Below are 14,219 nucleotides of genomic sequence, written 5' to 3'. Positions count from 1 at the left end.
CCTAGAAAACTAACACTTTTTCACAAAGATAGAATACAGTGTCTTCTGGACTTTTGCCTTACAAATTACTACTACTTGGACTTGGTTTAAAGATGTAGTAAGATAATTTATGTAAAGAATACTTAAAGAAAGAATAATCATAATATGTTAGGCAGTACCATCACAAATGTAGCAAATAAAAAAGCTATCAGTATAAACACCGCACTGAGGTATGCCCATTTGCCCTTTTAACAAACTATTTGTACATCTCATGCCTTAATACAAAAACTTAGTAGTCAAGATACTCAGAATAATCCTCCTAAGGAGAAAAAAATTGCACATATTATCAAACTTTGAGTGGTTAAGAGTAAAGAATGAGACACTTTCTTCTCCAGTATCTAGAGAATGTTGTAGCTAGCATAGCATTTGATTATTTTCTCCATCTTTTAGATGGTAAAGGGTCAAGGACATGAAAACATGGAAAAGGCTAATTATAACACAGATTTATGAATCTTATTGATTACAACAAATATCCATTTCTCATCTACACAACCTGCGTAGGTTCCCATTGGTGACAGGAAACTGGCATAGCACTAGTCCTTGCGGTTATGAAGTGTATCATACATAGGATGGTAGTTAAAATCTCCTTCTTCACCAAGAGCAGAACGAGTAAACAATAATTTAAGTGAATATATCTGCCAGAGTTCTTGGGATAAAGTAATAGAAACTATCTCTGGATGATTTAAACAGTACGGGAATGTCTTGAAAAAGTACTGGGTTACTAGGGAGGGTGTGGTAGTAGGAAAAATAGAGGACTAGAAATTGGAAGGGACAAGGAAGCTATGGTCAGCCAGATGAAGAGACAAACCGTGCTACAAAACTTGTACTATAGGCAGGGCTTGGTGGCGTATGCCTGTAATCCCAGCACTTTGGGAAGCCGAGGCGGGTGGATCACAAGGTCAGGAGTTTGTGACCAGCCTGGCCAGTATGGTGAAACCCCGTCTCTACTAAGAATACAAAAAGTAGCCGGGCATGGTGGTGCACCCCTGTAGTCCCAGCTACTCGGGAGGCTGAGGCAGAAGAATCGCTTGAACCCAGGAGGTGGAGGTTGCAGTGAGCCGAGATTGCGCCACTGCACTCCAGCCTGGGCGACAGAGGGAGACTCATTCTCAAAACAAACAAACAAACAAAAAAACTTGTACCATAAAGACACAACTGTCATTGCTGCTGGTCACAGAATGCACAGTGTTCCCTGCCACCATCACTGGCTCCAGACAGTGACCACCACTCCTAGAGAGGCTTCCACAGCAGTCACTGTTGTCACTCTCTCCAGAATGAATTCTCTACTATTCCTGCTTCTTCACGTCATGAATCCTTGACTCAAAATCTTGGGCTGGGGCATCTTATCGTCTGGGTCCACATCACATGCCTGAACCGTAGTTGCCAAAGAAGCTGGAATAATGAGGAAGGAAACTTTTAGCTTATATAGTGGGATGTGAGCAAATAGCTCTGACCTAAGATAGAAAAGATAAGGGCATTAGGGAAGCACAAAGAATGGAAGAAATCCAGAGGAGAAAGAGTTCATGTCAAAACCAGGATCTAGGTAGACTTTTTAGAAGACCTGTTCTTTGGGCTAGATGGGATGAATTTTCACAGGTAGAGGAGAGGGGAGACGGCATCTCAGTACTGTGGAGAGTGAAGCAGAGGCATGGAACTACAGAGGAGAGGACATGTATTGGATTTTGTGCTTCTATCCTATGCAACTATTTTCTGTTATTTATCTCTGTCACTTTTGAGAAATGTGGGAAATTCATCCTTAGAAAATGAATCTTGAGATGTCCAGGGCCTTCTGGTGCCAATCTGTTTCAAGCACTATTTATCACATCTCTTAGACATTGCTTATTCTGATATTGAAGAAAGGAGTCACTTTGGTTAATGTGTCTGAATCCCTGATCGTGGGCCCATTCATTCAAAGATGAAGTATGGGCACCTTTCACATATAGATATCCTACTGTAAATCACTTGGTATGATAATGCATTTAGCTATATAACACATCATTTGGTATTGTTATTAAATCTTTCCTGTTTGAATACTTTGACTCTCTCATTAGATTGAGAATTCTTTAAGGGCAGGTTTACAAGTTATACAGATTTTTAAATTTGCCAGTGCCACCTTGCCCTCCCATCCCTGTCAATCCAATTTCTGAGAAATTGTACAGCAGTAAAATTCTCCCTTGGGTATGGAATTGAGTTTACCTACCAACTTTTGTTTGCCTGTGTGCCAGTAGGACCAGGAAGAGGCTGTGAAGTCATGGGAATATTATTTAATTTTACTGTGCCTCAGTTTTACCATCTATAATATGGGTAAAATAATAGTATCTACCACAGAGAGCAATTGTGAAAGTCAAATGACATAGTAACAAATTAGTTCTGTGCCTACAGTATAGCAAACACTCAATAAATGTGTTTATTATTATTATTGACTTCATAGTATGTAGCAGAATGGCTGTTACCATTAGCAGTTTTCCCATCCATCCCTAGAATTGTGGGGTTGGCTTTAAAGAAGAGGCATTGTTGTCCACACCACCTCCACGATCTTCCCATATTAATTGTAGGTCTCTGTCTTCTTACACTGCACTTGTAAACTCTGCTTGCAAAGGTATGTCTGACATATGCCATGGCTATAGTAATATCTTGTGCCTTCAGCTAAGATATGTTGAATAAGTGTGTTATCAAAGAGAGGACAGTGCTTGTTCCTTGGAATTTAAAAGACTCCCTTTGTAGTTGTACATTAATAAACATGTAAACCTATGTTGGTTTTCAAGTTTGCCTGCCGGTAAAACTGAAACAGGTAATGCTGCTCTTGCAATTCTGCCCCTCTCTCCCAGATGCTCTTTTATATCTTAGAGTTGAAAGCCTTTGCTCTTTTTTCCCTGTTAGAATGTCAATTCTTCATAGTTCCAGTTTACCAGATATTGGGAGCAGTGGTAGCAGCGCAGATTTGCACTCTATAAAGAGGTAATTTAAACCATAAAGTTTTCAGGAGATTTTCCTCTCTTGGTAGAAATTGGGCATTGAGATGGGTACTGAAGATAAGGGTAGTGAGTGAGATTAGCATAAATATTCTATGTATATCTTTAGGACATGAATTCTATGCACCTTTGCATCAGTTAGGATATTTTCATCTGCAAAGCCTACGCTAACTAGAACAGTTGTAACAAGAAGAAAATGCACTCTGCCATGTGAACAGTAACCCAGAGGTTGGGTGATGACTGAGCCAGCTACTTCAATCTGTCATTCAGGAGCAGAATGCTTCCATTCCCCATCTCTGACATCTTGGTTTTGTCTTTATCCTGAGGGAGACAGCAAGAGCAGTGGCAGGAATCTCATACAGTGGTGATGTCCTGAGGAAGAAGAAAGGCATCTTGTGCTTCTCTTTTCCTAAATCGAGGAAACTTCCCACACACTCCTCTGCAGTATCTCTCTCTGTCTCATCAACCAAAATGTGTTCACATTCTCGTTTCTCAGCCACTGTTAGCAAACAATAAGATAATCCTAAAACTCATTAGACCTGCCTCAGCACTGGGGGTAGAGTCAGATTTCCCTGAGACACATGGTTTTGGAGAAGAATAAGTGCTTCAAAAAAATCAAAATTCTCTTTAGGAAAAAAAGAAAGTAGAGGGTAGTCTGTAGACAACCAAGTATTTTCTACATACTTTTATAATAATCTTATTTTTTATCAACAAACAGTAATTATATCTCAAAATGAAATAAGTACCTGGAAAAAAATCTTGGGTAAAGCATTTTTCAATAGTGAGAAGCAAAGCTTTTAAAATAGCATGGGGGCCGGGTGCAGTGGCTCACACCTGTAATCCTAATACTTTGGGAGGCTGAGGCGGGCAGATCACAAGGTCAGGAGTTCGAGACCAGCCTGACATGGTGAAACGTCGTCTCTACGAAAAATACAACATTAGCCAGGCATGGTGGCATGGGCCTGTAATCCCAACTACTCAGGAGGCTGAGGCAGGAGAATCGCTTGAACCTGAGAGGCGGAGGTTGCAGGGAGCCGAGATGGTGCCATTGCACTCCAGCCTGGACTACAGAGCGAGACTCCGTCTCGAAAAAAAAAAATAATAATAATAGCAAAATAAAATAGCATGGGGATGAAGATTGTTGAGGAGTGGTATGAACATTTATCTAGACTAGAAAAGTGGCTCAAATCAGAGAAGAAAAATGAGGAATCAAATAAGCACGTGGCCAATTCTTCCTGCTGAGTCAGGCTTAACATGTAGCCACTGCTGTCTTTTCACTTGAACTTTACTCTCAGCTGTGGAATGTCCTGTAAAAGGCTGTGGGGTTTTATTTAGCTAAGATTCATGGCAGTAGACAAAGTAGCACATTTCTATAAGCTTTTGGATAAGGTTTCAGTTTCACTGACTGAAGAGTAAGGTGTTACGGTTCTGCAATCAGGTTGTCCCTTATGTTTTAGTTTCTGAAAACAGTTTGTCATTGAGAAATTCTAACCTTTTAAACTAAAAAATTACACCAGACATAAACTAAGTTAATTTTTTTTCCTGCAGCAAGTCATGTGTTTTTCACCTAGACAAAATAAGCACTATAGGCAGGTGTCTGAAAGAAAAAGGAAATCCAAATGAATTACATTTTTAAACAGTCTTAATCCTATTTGGTCAGGAGTAAAGTTTCCTAAAAACTAAAGCTCTGGCTCCTGGTGCCTGTCATCAAATTACCACTGAATATTCTACCACACCTTGACTTACCCTGTAAGTAGAATCCAAGAAAGATTAAGACTTTGTGGAGATAATAGGTAGGAACTTAAATAGAGAAATAAAAAATACTGGTATGGGTGTACTTTGTTCTAGTGAATGTTTTCTTAGAAACTGAAGAAAAACCAAAAGCCAGAGAAGTTCACAGGGAAGGATTCAGTAGATCCTTGGGAAATATGGCCCAAAAATTTAGTCAAAATTTAGCTTGGTTGACAAAAAGAAAACGGAGGACACATTAATTGGAAGAGTACAACTGCACTCAGCAGAAACAGCAAAAGAGGCTGAGTTCTGCAAAAGACTTAGGGAGAGAAGGAATTATAAGAAATATAGAATTCAGACTGTTTTTACAGATATGCTTCATTCAAGTTTTTCCTCTTTCTCAGGCTTAATGCCTCTAAGAGAACAATTCAAATGAGCAAACCCTGTTGATGCCTATGCTATGTGATGCAAGACCAAGAATGACTTAAGGAGAAACATATACTTAGTGTTAACACAAGGCAGAATGTTTTATAAAAAAAGGTTAGAATATTTTTAAATGTGGAAACTTTAAACACTTTGAGGAGGAGATAATGTATGAACTGAACTTTGAGAATAGGTAAGTCTTTGACAGTTGACTATGTGAATATAAAGCACTGTTGAGTAAGAGCACTAGAGCATTGGAAGCAAGTATTGCAGAAGTAGCAAGCATCCTATTGTGGCTATGCATTCAGGCATTAGAGAGAGGGGAGGACATTCACATAAAAACATTACAGGTAATAAAGTAGGATGAGATTAGATGACAAAGAGCTGTGCAAACTTGAACTTGGTTCTTTGTCCCGTGAGCAGTTATTGAAGGTTTTAAAGCAGGACAATAATACAATCAGAAAAGAACATAATTTTGATGTCAGTGTGGAAGACAGAGAGGACCAACCATGAGGAGACTGTTGAAATACTCAGAGTTGCTGGTAAGGAGAACACGAACAAAAACTGCGTTGGTAGAAATTGGGGTGGATAAACAGAAGTAAAAGATACAAAAGAGGTAATATAAGTAGAATTTTTTGACTCAACTGATAGGAGCATAAGGAAGAGAGAAGAGCTGATGATGACCCTGATATTTGGAGCCTGAGCAAAAGGGAATGCATTGTTTCTGGCTTAAGGTGGTTGATTCAGTTTGGGATGTATTGAATTATGCGGCATGTGCTTAGACATTTGGGTCTAGATTCTTAGAATATAGATGTTCAAAACATTTGCATTGAGATAATCTTTAGAGTTGTTAAGTGTTTAGAATCCGAAGGGGAAAACAAGAGAGAAGAAAAAGAACAGGAACTAAACCATAAGGATTAAGAAGAGCAAATAGGGGCCTGTAATAGTGAAAGCCACATTGTGAAATCCGCAGTTTTTATGGGATTTCCTGCACTCACCTTTCTCATCTTCAATCTTAAAAATATGAAATGTTAGTCAGTTAAATTGTATATTTTCAAGTTCTTCCATGGCACTGTAAAAAATTAGATGACTTCACAGTTATACATCAATTAATCTAAATGAGTACATTTTATACTGTAATAGTGCTCTATAATTTGATGTTATTTTAAAAAAGCAAACAAACCTTGAACACTATAGGATTGTGATTTTAAAGGGTGTAGTTGCAAGGAGTAAGGGTCTTTATCCAAGGAGAAAAAAGGATGGATTACAGATTCTAAAATAGAAATTAGTCTTAATTTACTCATATATTTACTTCTGTGCTGCTTAAGGATGGAGAATGTTTGTTGGGAAAATCTGACTTAGTACTTCTTCTCGGAGCCATAATAAATACTATTTCCATGGTATTTAATAGGTATATGGACCTTAGATAAGCACACACAAATAATTCAAACTTCTAATTTCAATCAACGCATTTGACCTCTTCTTTCCATCTTGCCCTCTCCATCTCTCAAATGCAAGGAAGCAAAGACTCATGCAGGTACCTGAGTCTGGGAGTCAAGAGAGCACTGTTACTTAGTCTGTTTGTCTGACACCCAGAACAATGTACTCCACGCTTGTGTCCTTCTGAGTGAAATGAAGAGATTGACTGCAAAATGCCCCTGATTAAGCTCCTTCTTTCAAAGTAGAAACACATGAATTAGAGTTGCCTGACATTTTCCTGAGGAGAAATTTGAGTGGGGCTCAGGGTACTTCACTTCATCCAGAAATTTTCTCTAGCATCTTCAAAGACCCTGGAGAATTCCCTCGCAGTGGTACTAGGAACCAGCAGGAAAATAAACCCTCTTACTCTTAGGGCACCTCTCACCGGGGGAATCCCTCCTCCTTTGTTTCCAAGACTTCAACTCTTTTTTTTTTTTTTTTTTTGAGACGGAGTCTCGCTCTGTCGCCCAGGTCGGACTGCGGACTGCAGTGGCGCAATCTTGGCTCACTGCAAGCTCCACTTCTTGGGTTCACGCCATTCTCCTGCCTCAGCCTCCCGAGTAGCTGGGACTACAGGCGCCCGCCACCGCGCCCGGCTAATTTTTTGTATTTTTAGTAGAGACGGGGTTTCACCTTGTTAGCCAGGATGATCTCGATCTCCTGACCTCATGATCCACCCGCCTCGGCCTCCCAAAGTGCTGGGATTACAGGCGTGAGCCACCGCGCCCGGCCGACTTCAACTCTTCCTGTTGTCTGCATTGTATCAGCACAAGACACAACACTATGGTTCTTTCAAGGACCACCAAGTACTGTGGCTTACCTGACCACCTGACAGCCCACAGCCATTTCTAATCACAACGCTGGCTGGACCAGTTCCCCCTATGTCTCCACCACTGCTTGTGGTGGTGAGGAGACTTACATCCCTGTATACGCTTTTACTCACACAGTTCACAGGGTGTTTCCTAACTTTTTGGGGAGGCATCAGTGGGATTTTGCACCAGCTAATGGTGCTCCAGACAAATCAGACTTGCCTAATTTACATGATATAATAGCTCTGCATGCACGTTTTTGCCTTCCATATTTCTGAAGGATTCACTGAAGCTATAGTCAGGAATAATAAATTTGAGGGTAGCATTAAACGTTGAACTTATACTCTTGCCATATTACCCCAATTGGCTCAAAGCCATGAAGATACTAATGGCATTTTCGTGGCATTTCCCCCAAATTTGTAATCACTGTACAAGTTAAAGATATTTGCAGGAGAAAAGGTCCAAGATATTGTAAGGGATAATTGGAAGGACAGCTGAGAAAGGAATGAGGCCAGTAGACCCAAGTTCAGGTAAGCTGATTTATTGTCAGTCCTGCCGGGCTACCTCCTGACAAAAGCTTACAGACTACAGCAGGGCTTTATAGTGCGAGGAACTGGGTCAGGGTGGTGGAGCTGAGTTGGGTGTGCAGGAGGGCTGAGTCGGGGTGGGGGAGCTGAGTCGGGGGTGCAGGTGTCTTGACCGCATCCTGGAGATGTTTTTTGCCAGTTTTGTTATGCGAAGTGAACAGACATGTTAACTGCATCCTGTAACTGCCTGGACAAACAGTTACTGGAGGGGTCAGTGAAGGGGAGGGTTGTCTTTTGCCCTGAGGTACCTGTGTGGAGAGTGCAAGAGACTGTATTGTAAGGCCTGTGGGAGGGGAAGGGAATGGTCTGGTCGGGGTGACCCTAACAGATATCAGGTCAAATAGGATAAAAATAAAACCACCATGTAGAAATCATTAGCAAGTAGGTTATAATCTGTGTCAGTATACACCTTGATATCACCTTTATTCTATCTCTTTTGTTTAGCTTCTTTTTCCACCAATGGTAATTTATTGTTCCTTATGGATTGTTTTTCAATCCTGAAAATTATGGTATCTCATAGTAATTACTTGAAAATCTCTGACGAGTCTTATTTGTGTCATATTAGGTTCATTCAGTCTTTTTATAAATTATGTAGTCATCTACCTTAATATTTCAATGTTTTAATTATACTGAAAACTGTAGAATAAAAGATGATCATGAAAAATTCGCTGCATAGATAACTGCCTTGAGTTACTTTTTTCTCTACTTTCACTTGTCTAGCATTGGTCTAAAAACCTCGGAGGAAATGAAGTTGTGAGGAGGCAGGCAGTATTCCAAAAAATAAAAGGGGGGCTTAGCTAAAAAACAAATGGATAAAATGTTGCTAAATTATCAGGAATTCGTTGTGTAAGAACTTTGGTATGTACATTAATGTTGTGTATAAAGAAATAGTTCCAATATTTAACATTTATTCTTTCAAATCTCGTGCCAGATTATAATGATTTATTTTTAGGAAAATAATGTTTGTATCTTATCATGCTCTTCAGTTTTAGATAGATATTTTCTTCAGCAAAGACTACATCTGATTCAAGAATTTTATGTTTGAACTTTTCTCTTATTTAAACAAGGAGAAGTGCCTCTAAAATTGCTACCAGAAAGGAGTCTTAATCCAGACCCCAAAAGAGGGTTCTTGGACCTTGGGCAAGAAAGAATTCAGGGCGAGTCCATAGAATAAAGTGAAAGCACGTTTATTAAGAAAGTAAAAGAATACAAAATACTCCATAGGCAGAACAGCAGCATGGGCTGCTCGACTGAGTATACTTATAGTTATTTCTTAATTGTATGCTAAACAGGGGGTGAATTATTAATGAGTTTTCCAGGAAAGGGGAGGGTATTTCCTGGAACTGAGGGTTCCTTCCCTTTTTAGACCATATAGGGTAACTTCTGGACATTGCCATGGCATTTGTAAGCTGTCCTGGTGCTAGAGGGAATGTCTTTCAGCATGCGAATGCATTAGAATTAATGTGTAATGAGTAATAAGGAGACCAGAGGTCACTTTCGTCACCATCTTTGTTTTGGCGGGTTTTGGCCACCTTCTGGCTTCTTTACCATATCCTGTCTTATCAGCAAGGTCTTTGTGACCTGTATCTTGTGTCAAACTCCTATCTCATCCTGTGGCTAAGAATGCCTAACCTCCTGGGAATATAGCCCAGTAGGTCTCAGACTTACTTTACTCAGCCCCTATTCAAGATGGAGTCGCTGTGGTTCAAACACCTCTGACAAAATCATGTACAAAAAATGATTTGTATAGATGGAAAAGAGACATAACAGTAACTGAAAAGGCTATTTTATAAAATAGAGATAATATCTCCTCTGACCTCAAGCCACCTCAAGGAGGTCACTGGGTTTTGTTGCAACATGAGGAGTTGTTTAGCCAAAAAGTTGTACAGGATGAATTAAGACACTGAAAGACAGAAGATCTGCCTGCCCAGGTAAATGACTCCTTTCCTGTGAGCTCAATGTTAATGTAAAATCAGTTACTTGAAGTACGTGAGTGATGTGTGAAGTTACATGAGGAAAACTTTAGAAACAAAAATAGATGAATTTGCAACAGATAATTTTCTAAAGAAAAAACTTTACAACACAAAAGTTAGACTGGACTGGAAGTTTTCATAACTATCCACCAAGGCCTAAGACTTTAAATAAGTAGTTTAAAGGCAGTAACAATGCAACAGAAAAAAAAGCTAATCCAGAGAAAAAAATCAGTTAGCACTAGGAAACATAAAAATAATCTACCGCAAAGAAGAAAGCAATAGCAAAACTGTAGGGATATTTGTTTATCATGATAGAGATTTGCTCTTTGGATCACAATTAAATATATATCCTTCCCATTTCTTTATATCTCTCTGTGTTGTCTAGCAGTCCTCTCTCTAGCAATTGGATTCCAACATCTAAAGTTAAAGTTTTCCCTACCTGCAGTGGAATTTCATCATTTCTTCTAATGGCAGTGTTACAGTAGGTAGCTAGTCAGGTATGAGCAGAGCAGGAGACAGCTCCCTCTATCCCCCACCAAGAATGTCAGGTGACCATCAGGTGATGGTCAGACGGTTGTTAACTGTTTCTCGAAAATAATAATTGGTGGCAGCCAGTGTCAGGGAAAGGCAGTCTCCTAATAGAAAAGAACTGAAACCGGTGATCAGCAGCTTCCTGGTAAGATCTCAGGAGTTGTGCGAGTGGGCTCAAGCATGCACATTAAGAGGCAAAATGGTGGAGATTAACTGATACGTTCTAGGGCCATTCGACTGGTAAGGGAAGAATGCCTCAAGTGAGCATGTGTACAATTCCAGTACATTCTCCCCTCCCAAGCAGTAGCAGGACACTGCAACATGCAGACAGCCCACCCCTAGAGAACAATCGGGAGAACGAATGCAAGACCTGTAAGTATGGCAACATAAAACCCTAGGTCAAAGGTCAAACAGGGCACTTGATTTCTCAAGTTGCCTGCTTGGACCTCTTCCAAGTGTACTTAATTTCCTTTCATTCCTACTCTAAAGCTTTTTAATAAACTCACTCCTGTCCCAAAACTCGCCTCAGTCTCTCCTTCTGCCTTATGCCCCTCAGTGGAATTCTTTCTTCTGAGGAGGCAAGAATTGAGGTTGCTGCAGACCCATAGGGATTTGCTGCTGCTAACATACTTTGTTGCCATGTTACTCAGATACATTCCACCGTTAACAGCAGCACAGTTACAGTCTCTGTAGTCCGGTGGGTCACAGTGTGTGTGGTGTTTGTGTGTGTGCACATTGGATTGGGGAAGTCAAAATCCAAAAAGGCTATTGGAAGTGTTATTTGTTTCGACATGAAGCCACAAACATCCAAAAGAACTCAGTATTTTTTCTACTTCATTTATTTTTAAGAATTATTAATATTCTTCAAACAAAAAATGCAGAAAATTAAAAATACCTGCATCTTGCAGGCACGGCATTTTTGGAAAATTGTTTTTCTTTATCTATTACTTGGTTTCTTAACTAATAACCTAAACCAGAATAATAATAAAGATATTATTTATACCAGACACTTATTCTCCAAAAGTCTGTGTAGCTTGGATTATATAAAAGAAATTTTATTAAACAGTAATTTATTTAAGTGTGAATACCATACATTTCCAGATTTGTATTGTCCTGCAAATGTAGACTTCACAAAAAGATTTATATAATTAATGCCATTATAATTGGGATATATCTATTGTGATATGACTGTGTGCCTTATATAGAAAGCTCATGAATCAGTATGTCCTGATATTAGTACTGATAAATCAAAAGAACATATACTATCCTAAAGCTGGCATGATTTGGAGACTATTTGAGGTCCTAGCAATATTTCATTGAAGAAAAATGAACAAGGATTTGGAATTAGCTTGGGTAATTTTGCCACTGTGTCTCCAGAAAGGATTAACTTAAGTAGTCTTATATCTGAATTGAGTCTGTAAGAGTTGTTTTATTTGAGATAACAACGTTTCCGTCCTTGAAGGTGGTGAAGTGCCACATAGGTGGTGTACCTACTCCCTGGCAAACACTAGAAATCAACTGTGCACTTGTTTTAGGAGAGAGTTTCTTTGTAGAGGTAAAGCATTTTTTAAACCTGAGAATGTCTCTATTTTTTATTATTTTTCTTTGTCTGATCTTTGGAACATTCACATTTTAAGCGCTGAGAAACATTTTCAAATACTTCCCTGTGTTCTTTGATGACAATAAAAAAAGAGACAGCAGATATTTCAACAGAGTTCATTTTTACAGCATGAGTTTCTCACTTGCTATATAAAGAGTGAATAAAGATATATTATTTTAGTGAACTCATATTTATAATGTACATAAGTATACCTTGAAGATAAAAATAGGATGAAATCCCAATATCTGTTTTACCAGACGCACTTATATATTAAACTTAATAGAGGACCACCATTTATACTAAATATGTAAGTGTTTTTGTTTGATGAACAAACATTTGTGCTATCACATTGGGGATTAAGTAAAAAATAAAAAACATTTGGAGAGGTTATATCATATATGTTGGAAGTAGGATATAACACTGATATGCCTTACACTATAAATGTGGAAAATTAGAATTTCTGTACCAAAAATGCATGATATTAAAAAGTAAAATTTTATTTTGGCAAAGGTTAATAAGGAAAGACCTTATATTTTTGTTAATACTTTATTTTGTTCTCCATAGTTATTTGAAGTTTACTTTCTAATGATTTTAACTTCAAATATTTAACAAAATGCTCTCTATTTTAAACTCAGGAGCCTTGATTAATATAACTAATGAACAGCTTAAAATATAAAACATCCATGAGATTACATTATGTTTCATTTTAACAAGTTTTAGAATTTGAAGGCAACCAGTAACTAAGTATAACATAAAATGAAAACTAACCTGGCCTAATTAGACTATATTCTCTAATATACACAGCTATTCAAGATGTCTGATTATTTTCTATTTTTCCCTTTCTTTTTGGTAGAAAGAAGAAACATTTTTTTAAAGGTACTTGAATTTCGTCACCAGCTGCCTTTCTCTTTTACATTGTTATTAGGAATTTTAGTATATCCTACATGGTCTTTGTGTGCACATGTGTGTGCAAGGATGACTTTTCTAACATTATATTTTTAAATCTGACAAGGTCATATAAGCTGGGGAAAAAAAGCAAAGGGTCATCAAAAGGGGAAAAATAACAGAACTACGGTGAAATGGCTCTCTGTCGGCCTTGGTATTGATTCAGAGTGTGTCAAAAGGGTCTTTTGTCGTGCCCCTACCACAGCATACTAATTTGCTAGATCAAGTCTGTCAGAATATCGACTGGAAGTAAAAAACTACAGTGGCAGCTTTTGTGTTTCCTACAGCAGGGAGCCTATGTGTGAAACAGGATTATCAGGGGGTCATGAAGAGAGTCAAAGGATGTCCATCACTTCCCTTCTGGTAATGTAATGGGGCGGGCGCCTGGGTGTGATTAAGATGTAGGAGACGGGAGGCATTGCGGTGAACAAATCAGGAACACACACATGCAAATCAGGTTGGCTGCTGTTAACCACATATTTTTAATGAAAAATTCAATAGTAGACCAAACAAATATCTAAACAGCTGCATTCAGCTAACATATCAAATGGCCTATTCAACATCTTTTCTTGAAAACCAAATATACGAAACATGGAAATGCTTATCAAGTCTGCATTTTTCTTTAAATATCACTTTGCAATCTACAAGTGTTTCTTCTGCAGCCTGTGTGTTTTTGGCTCAGCTAACAGACTATTAAATATCGATTTTTTTAAATAAAATAAGATATACTACTTACCAAGTCCTGGATCAGCCTCACCATAGCCCTTGGTATTAGAGAGTTTGGGCTCAGTTCTATTTACTGGCTTTCTTGCATTAGCAAAATAGTGTCCTTTAGTGGAAAAAAAAATGTGTGATAGAAAATTCATAGATTTGTAAGAATATTGATGCCTAGGTAGAGACTTTGGAATTTTGATAGTATAGTAAACATATCAATACTGTATATAGAACACAGATAAAAATGATGTAAGAATTTTTCATAATAGCAGCTGAGATTTTTTGTATCATTTTATTTCTAGTTCTGTAGCACTCTGTATTGGGTATTTATTTATTCTCTCTTGCGAAATGCTGATTTAAGTTTCCACTCTCTACCTGGTACTGGTTATGTGCTGAAACTGCAGAAATGAATAAGA

At 38.4% G+C, this 14,219-nt stretch overlaps 1 annotated feature.

The window, feature by feature from the left end:
* Positions 12,648–14,006: an enhancer, noted in NCBI's record as "VISTA enhancer hs1187". NCBI's record gives its function as "enhancer in: hindbrain (rhombencephalon)[5/7] | forebrain[7/7] | eye[5/7]" and the evidence as "EXISTENCE:transgenic organism evidence [ECO:0001131][PMID:17130149]".

The sequence above is a fragment of the Homo sapiens genome, chromosome 5, assembly GCF_000001405.40.
Source record: "Homo sapiens chromosome 5, GRCh38.p14 Primary Assembly".
NCBI classification, from domain to species: domain Eukaryota; kingdom Metazoa; phylum Chordata; class Mammalia; order Primates; family Hominidae; genus Homo; species Homo sapiens.
This window is presented reverse-complemented; position numbering and strand designations above follow the sequence as displayed.